Source organism: Homo sapiens, chromosome 5 (assembly GCF_000001405.40).
Source record: "Homo sapiens chromosome 5, GRCh38.p14 Primary Assembly".
NCBI classification, from domain to species: domain Eukaryota; kingdom Metazoa; phylum Chordata; class Mammalia; order Primates; family Hominidae; genus Homo; species Homo sapiens.
Window position 1 is genome coordinate 142148680 of NC_000005.10, and position 13713 is coordinate 142162392.

The 13713-nt window shown below is 38.2% G+C and overlaps 1 protein-coding gene and 1 long non-coding RNA gene across 2 annotated transcripts in view; one reads left to right on the top strand and one right to left on the bottom strand.

Annotated features, from left to right (window-relative positions):
- The window catches only part of NDFIP1 (Nedd4 family interacting protein 1), a 45662-nt gene extending 39901 nt beyond the window's left edge, over nt 1–5761 (top strand). The window contains exon 8 of the mRNA NM_030571.4: nt 3052–5761. The gene's annotated coding sequence lies outside the window, so the exon portion shown is untranslated. The remainder of the gene's footprint in view (nt 1–3051) is intronic.
- LOC107986455 (uncharacterized) overlaps nt 5732–13713 on the bottom strand; it is a 38651-nt gene continuing 30669 nt past the window's right edge. The window contains exon 3 of the long non-coding RNA XR_001742907.3: nt 5732–8293. This is a non-coding gene — a long non-coding RNA (uncharacterized LOC107986455). The remainder of the gene's footprint in view (nt 8294–13713) is intronic.

The window sequence follows — 13713 nt, forward strand, 5'->3', positions numbered from 1 at the left end:
GGTGGAGGTTGCAGTGAGCCAAGATCACACCACTGCACTCCAGCCTGGGCGACAGAGCGAGACTCTGTCTCAAAAAAAAAAAAAAAAAAAAAAAAAAAGTATGTGACTGAGGAAGCAGAAGAAACAGATACCTGTTATAAACATCTGTACCTGAAATGGTAAAAAATGTAAAGTGTTTATACTTTTCTTATTTACCAGTTCACTGGAAAATACATTTTTATGGATTACCACCTCCTCTGATGCTGCCAGGTGAATGAGGAGTTAGCTACAGTAATAAGGTGGTAACACAGTTGATTGGTTATATCTAACACTATTTGTGTGGTACCAAAAGCACTTGTACATATGAAGCATAATATATTTTAAAATTATTTATTTTAACTGCATCTGAAATAGAAGGAAAAAAGGAGGTTTTTGAGCCCTAGCATTAATGAGCTAGGGCCTTCATAATTAAAAAAGTGACCTAGTGAGCTGTACCTATTAGGCATCAAATATTTTAATTTTTTTCCATGTGATAACAGACACTTTCATTTCTCCTTTTCTGTAATTTTTCTCCTGTTCCTTAATACTTCTTTTATTTTATTAAAGGAAATTCATCTCAAGGTAAAGGTTTACTTATTGGACTATGTTATAAGATAGCAAGATAATAGGGAAATGGTGTTTCCAGTAGAATTTTTGCTAAACAAAATTTACATGTCTCCAAGAAGAACTGGTTGTCTTCCTCTTGGAATTAAATGATCTGTAGGCTATTGGATTCCTTTTTTTTTTTTTTTTTTTTTACAAAGTGATCTGATCTATAATTTAGTAATACGGTCCAGAGTCCCTAAGATCTGTTTGTTCTTCAGTTTGTGTACTGCCAGCATTTCTGTAACACTGCCACTCAAGCCTCCAAGTCTCAGACAGCAGTGCCCTCTAGCAGTCTTTCATTTGGAGATTGTGTGGTGATTGAGATTACCCACTGGTGACCTCTCTAGGTCCTCTTGAGATATTTTATTTTAATTTAATTTTTACTTCTCTTACTGAACAAGCAAAGGGATTTTTAATGTTTGTTGGGTGTCAGGCTTTGACTTTGAGGGATCTATTAAAGCTGTTTACCTATGCTAAAGCATCATAAACTAAGGAAGTGGCCAGGTAATTGTCCGTACCATATTGTATATTCTTGCAAACTCTGTTTTGACCTACTAGTCACTGTTTCATCAGTTTTCATCTATTAAAAGAAACTGGGCCAGGCATGGTGGCTCACGCCTGTAATCCCAGCACTTTGGGAAGCCAAGGCGGGCAGATCACGAGGTCAGGAGATCAAGACCATCCTGGCTAACACAGTGAAACCCCGTCTCTACTAAAAATACAAAAAATCAGCTGGGTGTGGTGGCGGGCGCCTGTAGTCCCAGCTACTCGGGAGGCTGAGGCAGGAGAACAGCATGAACCCGGGGGGCGGAGCTTGCAGTGAGCCGAAATTGTGCCACTGCACTCCAGCCTGGGTGATAGAGCGGGACTCCGTCTCAAAAAAAAAAAAAAAAAAAATATATAGAAACTGATAAAACAAATTATTTATGTTTATAATGAGTCTGGCCTCATTGCAAAAACATTCATTTAATATTCATCTGCCAATTTTCTTTTTTGCTTCTGCTTGGCTTTTAGAGTTCCTCATATTTTTGTGTCTCTGTCTCTGTGCTTTCCGAGGTCTTTCAATCTCTTATGTCTCTCAATCTAAAGAAAAGATGTCCTTGTATCAGTTTCAGTGGTTTACTTCAAATCACAACACAAATGAATTTATAGTTTGGAAAAATGTTGATAATATTAAAATATGTTCATTTCCTCCAGTGTGTTTGTAGTCTCTCTCCATTTTGGCAGCCTTTTAAATACTTACGCAGTAATCTAATCAGAAAAGATACAGAAGACACCGGGCATAGTGGTGCACGCCTGTTAGTGCCAGTCACTTGCGGGGCTGAGGCAGAAGGTTGGCTTGAGCCCTGGAGGTGTAGGTTGCAGTGAGCCGAGCTCGCGCCACTGCACTCCAGCCTGAGTGACAGACTCTTGTCTCCAAAAAAAAAAAAAAGAAAAGAAAAGAAAGAAAAGACATAGAAGAGTTTCTTGTGGCTTTTATAGTAATTTGGAGGATAGAAAAGTAAGTTATAGGCCGATATTTGAGCCCATCCAACTCTCACTTCTTGCTGAGTACCACAAAATAGTTTCTCAATAAATGTTTATTAAGCAGTAAATGTATCTCTTTAGTGTTTCTTCTTTTATTCTTAATAGTTCTTCTTTTATTGTTAATATAGGGAATTACTTGTAGTTTTTCCCAAGTTATTTTCATGAGAACCAAAACAATATACTAGTACAGAAATGCCTCAAAGTATTAGATGAAAACTGCATTTAGTAAAATGCGTAGGCATTATTTCGAGAGCATTTATTTCAGTCAGATATATTCCTTTCTTAAAATTTAGTTTGAAAGTACATGTATTATTTTAAGAGAAACATGCCCCAAATACAATGACTTTTTAGGAAAACTTGTTTTTTAAAAGTATTTGTGGTACCTGTGAGTTTATCCTTGTTTTCTAATTTTGCCATGCTCGGTTGAGGTATAGCATGACATGGTTGGCATCCTTACTGGAAAGCTTCCTTGTGCAATATCTAGTGGAATTGTTAGGGTAAACAGTATCTTCAGGTATATTAGGAAAATTACTTGTGCACTTGGATTATGCTCTCTGTCCCAAGTTTCAGTCATTGCTGACAGCGTTCAGTGTGGGATGCGCAGTAGCACTGCTTCCATTGTATTCTTTTGTTAAGAGGTTTGGAAAGAGAGACTCCTGACTTCAGGAGTTTTTAGAAAAAGCATTCCAGTTTTTTCTAGTTCTAGAGGCCTTGATAACTTTAAGAACTGAAATTTTAATGTTTATTGAATACCGTGATGTCAGTATACAGTAATCTTAAAACTATGTTAAAATGCACTTGTGTCTCCAAACATCCTGCCTTCTTTTGTGACTACATCCTTCTCTTAGCCAAAATAACAAGCTAACTAGAGTTTCAATATTCAATATCCTTCTCTGGCAGATGTTTTCTGGCAAAGGCCTTCCTGCATTTATGAATTCTCTCTCAAGAAGCAAGAGAACACCTGCAGGAAGTGAATCAAGATGCAGAACACAGAGGAATAATCACCTGCTTTAAAAAAATAAAGTACTGTTGAAAAGATCATTTCTCTCTATTTGTTCCTAGGTGTAAAATTTTAATAGTTAATGCAGAATTCTGTAATCATTGAATCATTAGTGGTTAATGTTTGAAAAAGCTCTTGCAATCAAGTCTGTGATGTATTAATAATGCCTTATATATTGTTTGTAGTCATTTTAAGTAGCATGAGCCATGTCCCTGTAGTCGGTAGGGGGCAGTCTTGCTTTATTCATCCTCCATCTCAAAATGAACTTGGAATTAAATATTGTAAGATATGTATAATGCTGGCCATTTTAAAGGGGTTTTCTCAAAAGTTAAACTTTTGCTATGACTGTGTTTTTGCACATAATCCATATTTGCTGTTCAAGTTAATCTAGAAATTTATTCAATTCTGTATGAACACCTGGAAGCAAAATCATAGTGCAAAAATACATTTAAGGTGTGGTCAAAAATAAGTCTTTAATTGGTAAATAATAAGCATTAATTTTTTATAGCCTGTATTCACAATTCTGCGGTACCTTATTGTACCTAAGGGATTCTAAAGGTGTTGTCACTGTATAAAACAGAAAGCACTAGGATACAAATGAAGCTTAATTACTAAAATGTAATTCTTGACACTCTTTCTATAATTAGCGTTCTTCACCCCCACCCCCACCCCCACCCCCCTTATTTTCCTTTTGTCTCCTGGTGATTAGGCCAAAGTCTGGGAGTAAGGAGAGGATTAGGTACTTAGGAGCAAAGAAAGAAGTAGCTTGGAACTTTTGAGATGATCCCTAACATACTGTACTACTTGCTTTTACAATGTGTTAGCAGAAACCAGTGGGTTATAATGTAGAATGATGTGCTTTCTGCCCAAGTGGTAATTCATCTTGGTTTGCTATGTTAAAACTGTAAATACAACAGAACATTAATAAATATCTCTTGTGTAGCACCTTTTACTGTAGATTAGTGCTTAATTTCTTGGCTTGCATTTGTTGATTGCTAAGGCAATTTTTTCTAATCTTAGGGAATCATTCAGTAGATGCGATTAAAAAACTAATGTTGGGTCAATTTTTTTCTTCATTTTCAGCACAAGAAGTCCTCTTATATCCTACTAAATACATTCCTAAAAATGTATTTGAACATTGGTTCTGTAAAAGATAATGGACTAAAAAAGTAGAGAGGAGTTGTAGAGATCTTAAATCATTCTGGAATTCCTAATTATGCTTCAATTTTTAGACATAATTTTAGATAATTTATTTCCAGTGTTTTCTGCATGTTCTCATTTGTTCTTTTTCTCAGTTGAATGCACCAACTGGTTTGAGTCCTGTGAGCATTCAGTCAGTTGAAATTAAAGATTCCTCATTTCTCCTGATTTCTATTCTTGTCTCAATCTTAAATTTAGAGACCAGTTGTTTTTATGATATCAGCCATTTGATTTTTTTCATTTTCTATTTAAGAAATATGAAGAAAAAATACACCAAGATGGTCAAATTACTACACAAATCAGCACCAGCACAGTCTGATAGCTGCAAATGTCCATTCATCTGCTGTGTATGTATATCCAGAATCAGCATAGGAAGTCGTTCAGGATATCAGTATATAATGCACAGAAGTGTGGGTTGTTTGAAAGCCAAACAGGAAAATTAGGAGCCTCCTGGATTGACATTTCAATGATCCCTCTAACCAGTTTATGGATTATTATGAATAATAGTGTAGTGTGTTCTTTTTCAGAAGTTATATTTGATAATAGAGAAGGGAGTTTTATGGAAGTTTCTTTGAAGATTTTTTTTTTTCCATTTCGAATCAGATTATAGCAACAATGGAGTTTGGAAGTTTGTATGGCCTATAATGTTCTAAGTTCCAGAATGAAAAGATCTGTAACAATCTGAATAGATGTGGACACATATAGCAGAGAGAACTATGTAAATTATCTTGCAGAACAAAATAGAAGGGTCCTAAATCACGTTAACTCAAACATTGTAGACTAGCTTTGTGTTTATTCTTCAGGTCCTTGCGCCTTATTTGGTTTTGTATATTCAACGAACTGAAATATTTGGAATTCCTATTTCTACGTATTTGGTGGTCCATAAGACTTTGTCAAATGTAAACCTACAGTTTGATACGCTTTAAAATACCTAGTTAAGAGGATGATTTCTCTTTAATCGTTTAAATGTTCTGAAAATTAAAATCTTTTGAGGCACATGAAGTGGGCACCATATATCATCTAGAGTCCTTACTGGTATTCAGGATGAAAATGTTCACGCTGCATTAATTGTCATTTTTCTCTCCCATGTTCTTTCTCACTTTGATACGTTAATACTGATAATGGATAAAGAGTGAGTTTTTATAATAAATGGTTTTGGAAAGGTATTCATAGGAACCGCGGTTATTTACTTAAGGTTATGGAGTAAACTAGCTTGGACCTTGGGCTGCAGGACGACTAGGATTCACCCATAACGACACAGTGCCCTATGTTTCTTAACTTCTTGTTGCCATTTGAAACTCTGTACTCTTATGTTTAAAGGGTTCTGTATAGCCATTTTTTTTTTCAGAAAGTTACATTGCTTTGTATAGAAATAAAAGGCATTATTAAAATTTGCTTGTTAAAAAATGATAAGAATGAATATCTTTACTTATAGGGTCAATTTTGTTTAGAGTTTTAAAGAAACAACAGAAGTTTTAGTGAAGTAAATGATTTTTTTTTTCCCTTTGCTTTCTTATTACATACTGACTTGAGCTCTGGCCCACCGTGAGTCATTATTAGTACAGATGAAATTTTGTTTGGTCTTCACTATGTGTTTTTTGTTTGTTTGTTTTTTGAGACGGAGTCTCGCCCTGTCGCCCAGGCTGGAATGCAGTGTTGCGATCTCCACTCACTGCAACCTCCGCCTCCCAGGTTCAAGCGATTCTCCTGCCCCAGCCTCCCAAGTAGCTGGGATTACAGGCGCGCGCCACTACGCCCAGCTAATTTTTATATTTTTAGTAGAGACGGGGTTTCACTATGTTGGTCAGGCTGGTCTCGAGCTCTTGACCTCGTGATCCGCCCGCCTCGGCCTCCCAAAGTGCTGGGATTACAGGTGTGAGCCACCGCACCCAGCCTTCACTGTGTTCTTATACTAAAATATACTCTACTTAGCTATAAATGGTTTACATTCAAAGGAAGAAGTAAGATAACTACTGAAGTAGAGTATCAGGACCAATAGAAGTGATATTTCAATTTGAGTGATTGCCTGAGGGGGTAAGATTCTGGGGTGAGAATCTAGACCCTAACAAAACTAGACCCCTGGCCTCAGGCTTTACATCCAGTCCAATGCCCTCTTCCCATTGTCCCAACCTTCTGGAGGGTTGGCGTGTAAACATTGACATAAAATGAAAAAAATCATTTGACCGTGCTTCTTGTAAACATCAGTAATCTAATTTTAACTGAAAACATGCTAAGAATAGACATGGAATTGTACATTTATGTAAAGTAGGAGGATGTGTGTTTGTATAGATAGATGGATGCATAGATTTTTTTTTTTTTTTTTTTTTTTTTTTTGAGACAGGGTCTCGCTCTGTTGCCCAGACTTAAGTACAAAGTCGTGATCTTGGCTCACTGCAACCTTCACCTTCCAGGCTCAAGCCATCCCACCTCAGCCTCCCCAAGTAGCTGGGACTACAGGCATGTGCCACCACACCCAGTTAATTTTTGTATTTTTAGTAGAGACAGGGTTTTGCCATGTTGCCCAGACTGGTCTTGAATTCCTGGGCTCAAGCAATCTGAAGTGCTGGAATTACAGGCGTGAGCCACCTCACCTGGCCAGTAGGAGGGTATATTTTATGAAAAAGTAGTTGTGACCCCTATTACCTATGTGAATCTGGTTCTTGGTTAAACCTCAGTGGTGAATATAGGTTAATCATGTGCAAAATGTATAATAATTTTCAGGTTCTGTGGGTGGTTCAGCTGTTCAGAAGATTTTCACCTCTCAGGCTTTTAGAATATGAGTTGAGGAATGATGAGGGTCATAACAGAAGGCAAAATATGCTTCCATAGATGGTTTATATATTTAAAAAAAATGTTTTTTTGCGTATTTTAAACCCTAAATAGTGTTTCTATCCTGTAAGATGGATAAGGTGGATTGGGTGAGAGCATTTGTTAAAGCAGTAGTACAGTACTCTTGCATCTCCTTTTCCCTTTTGCGTATACCTGTACACGTTTGTGTATGTGTATAATTGTGTTCTTTTAGACTACCTACAGAAAGTGCCCTTTGACAAGTAGCCTCTGCATGTTGGTTCTTTGTAGGCTCTACTGTTAATGTGGAAGACATCTCAAAGAAATACACTGGGAATTCCCAAAGGGGAGAGTAAGTTTAGGTTGAAAGTGAAAGAGGTGTTCAGGAGGAAATGATGGTTGTAGAAATTGATTTTTGTATCATCTCCATTCTAAAAAGAAGCTATTTTATAACCCAGTTGATTGTATCACCTACAACTTTATGGCCTATAGAAAGAACTGCTCTTACGTAAAGTACATGAATTGAGAGCTGTCCTCCCGAAGCCAGTTTCCCTGACTATAAAATCTGAAATAGTCCATCTACTGCGTGGCATTTTAATCCCCTCAGTCCTCCATTATTCTCAGAATTTTCCGCTTATAGGATAAATACATTACTCAAAGGTTTTGTGTTAATTTTTATACCTGTTTTTACTTATAGCCTGTTTCTTTTTTTCTTTACCAAAAAGCATCGTCTTCTGATTTTGAGAGTTTTAATTCTTAAGTATCAGTTGATGAATTAATAAAATGTAAATGTAAATGCACATCTCTTAAACCTGAATACAGAACATATTAATATAGAGGATTCTCCTACATTTATGCAGGATTTTACCTAGGTCAGAAACTGAGATGCAATTGTGTGAAATAGATGTCGTCCAACCTGCTTTGTATGTTGTTCATTCTGCTCTAAAAACAGCTAATTTTAATCATTGATGTAGGAAATAAATGTTTCACAGACTTTTCCCCATTCATTAGTGATTGCAGATTCATAGACATCAAAACTGAGAAAAGTGGTTTCCTCTAAGCCTTAACAAAGATTAGTGCTGGAGCTCTGGGAAGATGGCAGTATTCATTGTTATTCTTCAGTTGTCTGGAAGGTTCGCGAGTGATATACGCAGCCTGGGAAACAAGAAAACAGGTCAAAAATCTAAAAGAAATCTCTAAAATAGAGAAGATGATTTCCCTGACAAAGCATTATTAGAAAAAGTATAAAACTAAGGAAGTTCTGCCTTCTGGTTATGAAACCCAGCCTGATTCTAATGAAATTCAACCAAAATGCCAAAGCTAGAGTGATTTTCACCTTGCATAGTTGGGTTTGCATTCGTGTCCCCTGCTGAGAGCTGCTTTGCCTCCCACTTCCCCTCCCCCATTTAAGCCAGATACTTCCTGAGCCAAGTTGGAGAGGACTGGTGCAACCTATCATCATAACTGGGCTAGAGTTACTCTTGATGAAACATCCCTCTTTTCATTTGCAGAACTGTCAGAAATGCCTAAAATGCTGCTTAAGTGAGGTTTTAGAAAGAATTTTGCCATCTGCTTCCTGATTCCACATCTTTATTTTGACAGAACATTTCATAGGCCGTATTTGGCAGTTCCTCTGTTTGGATGTCATTTTAATATGTTGCTTTTTTCTCTGATTATCAACACTGAGGATTTTCATGTATATGATTTATTTCCAGTTTATATTTTAACAGATTGCAGATAAATCAGTGATTGCAGAGAAATCAGATGGATCAACATTTTCACTATTTATTACTTTTTATGTATTTATTACTATTTATTTATTACTAGTATGCTTTGGTACTATATAGTTGATGAAAATAGTGGGCACTGGTGACCTGAAGAAGCAAAATTAGCAGTCCATATTTTTATAGGTTTGATTCAGTGACTCTCAAGCCCTAGATCTGTATATGCATGGTCATGTGTAGGACAAAAATCATCTTTTTTTCTCTTTTTGGTTAATTATATATTTTGTCCCTGAGACTGTGAAGTGAGTTGAATCTGTATAACCTATTTTTGTCCGTAAGCTCTTCTCTGGTTTAGCAGTTCTCTAGATTTAGGTATTGGACTTATATATATATTTTTCCAATATCCACCTCATTGAATTATAGACTTAGTTCCTACAGTAGTTCCACAGAGCTTCCAAATAAGGGTAAGGATAATGGGTAAGTAAGTACTTACCTCTCATCTTCACTTCCATAGAAGAAGGCTGAGTGCAGTACATTTGTATCTACACTTTATAAATTATGAACTAGTTTTTCATCAAAAAATTTCATGGATGCCAGGCACGGTGGATCTCGCCTGTAATCCCAATACTTTGGGAGGCCAAGGTGGGCAGATCACCTGAGGTCAGGAGTTCGAGACCAGCCTGGCCAACATGGTGAAACCTCTGCTCTACTAAAAATACAAAAATTAGCCGGGTGTGGTGGTGCGTGCCTGTAATCCCCAGCTACTTGGGAGGCCGAGGCAGGAGAATCACTTGAACTCAGAGGCGGAGGTTGCAGTGAGCCGAGATTGTGCCACTCCAGCCTGGACAACAGAGTGAAACTCCATCTTTAAAAAAAAAAAAAAAAAAAAATTGATGGTTGGGTAGATTAAGAATTATTTTGTCTTTATATAGGTCTCAAAGCTCATGGCCACAATATTTTCCTCTTCAGAATGGCAGGACTATGGGAAGGAATGTGCATTCAGAACAACGGGGAAAGGCTATAGGGAAATTAATTTCAAAATATTTGGCTGAGTGATTGTGGACTCTTCCTTGGAAGTCTTTAAACACAGAATAGATCCTCCTATTTGGAATGACTTAAGGGTAAAGGAAAAGGAATGGATTAGCAGGCGCCTTAAAGACCCCAAGAACTTTAGAGATTTGTATGTGGCCCATGTCAGTGACAGATGGAACAGTAAGTTCAATAGACGTCATGTCTGCCGCTCCCAGGCTATGCTTCCTTTAATGTAGTGACCTTCTGGGAGCATTGTCCTCAATTGTCTGCAAGAGGGAAAGGAGTACATCTAAATTTCTGGTAAACTTAATTTGGGTGGCTTATTACCTACTGTTATGTATCTTTTAAAGATCCAGTGATCCAAAAAGCTGTGCTTTGCCCAAAATTCCAAAATGAGAAAACCATAAAAACCACCCTCTAGTTTCTGGAGCCATTTTCAAATCTGTGTTGATTCTGAAGGAATTTCATTTACGTAGCATTTTCACATGTTAACAGTCCTTCCCCTAAGGGATTATGGGTAGAGGAAAGAAGATGAGGTGGTAAGGAGGCACTGGAGGAGATGAAGTCTGATTTGTTTAGAAAGGACCGATGGAGGAGTGTAGCAGACACTCCTTTTGTTCTTTGCTCCTGCTTTAATCCTTCAGACCCACAGGACAAGATTGCCAGCTAATTGCAAGGAGCCCGTAAAAGAGAATTGGCCTAAATTGAAGAATAAATATATTTTTTTTTTAATTCTTCCTTTATTTGGGTCACTTTGCTTTACATATGTTTATGTCTCCAAAAAGTGGTTGGATACCCTCTTGAGAGGTTTTCTTTACAAAAAAGAAAGAAAAAAAAATCTGAAATTCCAAAGCCTCTTTCCCTGCCATTGTAGCACTTAGGCAAAAGCATGAAGAACTAAATCCACTAGACTGTAGTTTAAACTTGAAAAAACAAAAACAAAAAACCCCAAAAAGACTATAATGTGCTTTAGAGTGGCATTTTTATACAAGTGACTCATTGCTAGCAGTATATTGACCATTTTAAAGTGCAATCTGATCTTTCATGGGTAGACATTTAAATTCTCTGAGTACAGACACTGTACTTGGGACAAATTATTATATTTGTACCTTGGTGCCAATCTTAATCATGTACTCATTGGGTGCTTATTTTCAAATACCTGATCCTTCTAAAAACAGTATACTAAAACCTGTTGTTAAACATATATCAAGTTTAATAGCAAGCCATGGATACTTTTTACTGCCTTTTATTTATTGCTGGGTGTATTTTATTAGAAGGAAAGGTAAGTAAATGTGTTTTGCAGAAAATATGTAGTATAAGTCAGCTCCAGTAGCAGTTATTATTTTTTAACTAGATGGCGGAGCATTTACACACTTAGTTTATTAGTGACCTTCCCATAAAATTTTTAGGAACACAGGGCCAAACAGAGGTCATAAGTTTATCCAAGCCAACCCACTTCTTTGGTGACATCAGACAACTGAAGAGAAGCCAAGAAAACGTTCCCTCCATCTTCAAATTCTATGTGTCCTTGGCTTTGCCTCCATCCATAGTGGTTTATTCCCCTCAGAAAGAATTGCAGATGGAATTTGTATAATCACCTGTGTTAGAAGTGATGATCTACTTTGAAAAATACAGTTTTTATGTATTATAAATAATTGTGCTCTGCCTTCTTGCATATAGTTGCTTTGGGCCTTTATTTGATAAAAACTATCTTATTAGCCAGTTATGACATACATGACTTTATGCTGGATGTAGTATATACAAAGATTTGTACAAGACAGCCCCTGAACACAAGGAGGTTTTAGTCTGGGAGGAGATTGGTAGGAGACAAAGTGCTTTCCTGTCCAAGAAATCTTAATATGTAATGTTTTTCTGCTTCGTTTGCATAGTGATGGAAGAAGCTTTTTACACTTTTCAAGCTTGCTGCTAACTTAATTTTCACCAGAAGGGCACTTTTAAAGATGTTCGTAAAACCAAATGCCCTCAAAGGAGAGATTACTGCCACTTGAAGAGGCCACCCCCAAAAGGGCCAAAAGGATGGGGGAACATCTCAGGGTGCTATGTGGCCAGGACCTAGAAAACCAGCTGCCAAGGGGACTTGTGACTGTTAGCCTAGGGCTTGAGCCCTCGCTCCCCATTTACTGGCTGTGTAATCTTGGGTCATTTGCATGTCCTATCCAAGCTTTGGTTTTCTAATCTGTGTGCTGGAATATTTTCTCACAGGGCCATTTTTAGGGAGGTAAAGTGCCCAGCATCTAGCAAACAGCTCTTCACAGCTGATCAGCTATAGTATTGGGTCTAAGGGCAGGACATGAAAAGCCCAAACCTATAATTCAAACCGAGGGAATTCATTTCCTTTTCAGGACCGTATAGCTCTCATAAACCCTGCCTTTCCTCATTCCTTCTTTCCTAAATGTCATTAGGCCATCCCTGATAAATCAGATCATTCTTATCCTCCTAAATTCCTGCAGCCCAGATGAGAATATGATTTACTATTGCTTTTCTGGTAATATTATCATATGTTTATGTGGGAACTTATATACATGTTCATTTGATCTTCACAGATTACTATAAAAGGGATTATTTTGCGTTCTTTACCACCAAGCAACCAAAGCCTCCCTCCCCCGGCAAATAATTTTCCAACACTCACTAACATCAAAACACTCTACAGATTCAATAAACTTTGATTCTCATTTCCTTTCCTGAGTTCTATAGGCTGAAACTCTGGCCTCTTTTTTGCTTAGTCCATTTGTATTACATTACAAGACTTGCCGTATACTATCTTTGTATGGATTTAGGTATTCGAAGCAGCCTTTGAACTTCTTATCCTTTGCTTTGTTTCTTTCTGCACTGGCCTTACATTCTCTGCTCTTTTCCCTGCCCTTTCCATGTCTTCTTTGCCGCCCTCTCGACACCTCCCCCTTCCCCTACGTTTCCAGTGCTGCTTAGATCACTCTTGTTACTTCTCTGTCCTAAATTCCTACACAACTGTAGATAGGGCCATTTTCTCAGTGGCCGCTCTCCCTTTCCTTTCTCCAAATCTTAACCCTGGGCCATTTGAACCCTAGTTACTTCTTTTTTTTGTTTTGTTTTGGTTTTTTGGTTTGTTTGTTTTGAGACGAAGTCTCACTCTTGTCCCCAGGCTGGAGTGCAATGGCGTGATCTTGACTCACTGCAACCTCCGACTCCTGGGTTCACGTGGTTCTCCTGCCTCAGCCTCCCGAGTAGCTGGGATTACAGGCGCCTGCCACCGTGCCCGGCTAACTTTTGTATTTTTAGTAGAGATGGGGGTTTCACCATGTTGGTGAGGCTGGTCTCGAACTCCTGACCTCAGGTGATCTGCCCGCCTTGGCCTCCCAAAGTGCTAGGATTACAGGCGTGAGCTACCGCGCCCGGCCTAACCCTAGTTGCTTTCTATCTTCCCATTCCATCTAGCCGCATCCAACAAGAAAACCACATGCCTGCTTTCTCTTCCTGAAGCTCTCCAAGGAACGTTCCTGTATGCCCCTGGATAGATGGTTCCAGCCTGTGTCTGTGCCCCCCAACCCAGTCCTGCCAATCCAAGCCTGCCCAGATAGGGCCTGCCTGTTTTCCCCTTTATTGGGGGATCTGGGGAGCTTTTCACAGTGGTGGCATTTGTCACAGTGTTCACAGGCTCACCTCTTCATGCCCCTTCAGTACTAGTTTGGCTTGGCCATTAAACAGAAAGCATTGGGGTGTCCTCTGCTCTTTGTTCTCTCTCACTATATAGATCACCTCCAATGGCATCTGCATGAATCTATGACAACTCTCGGGCCTCCATGGAGAAGCACCTGGCTA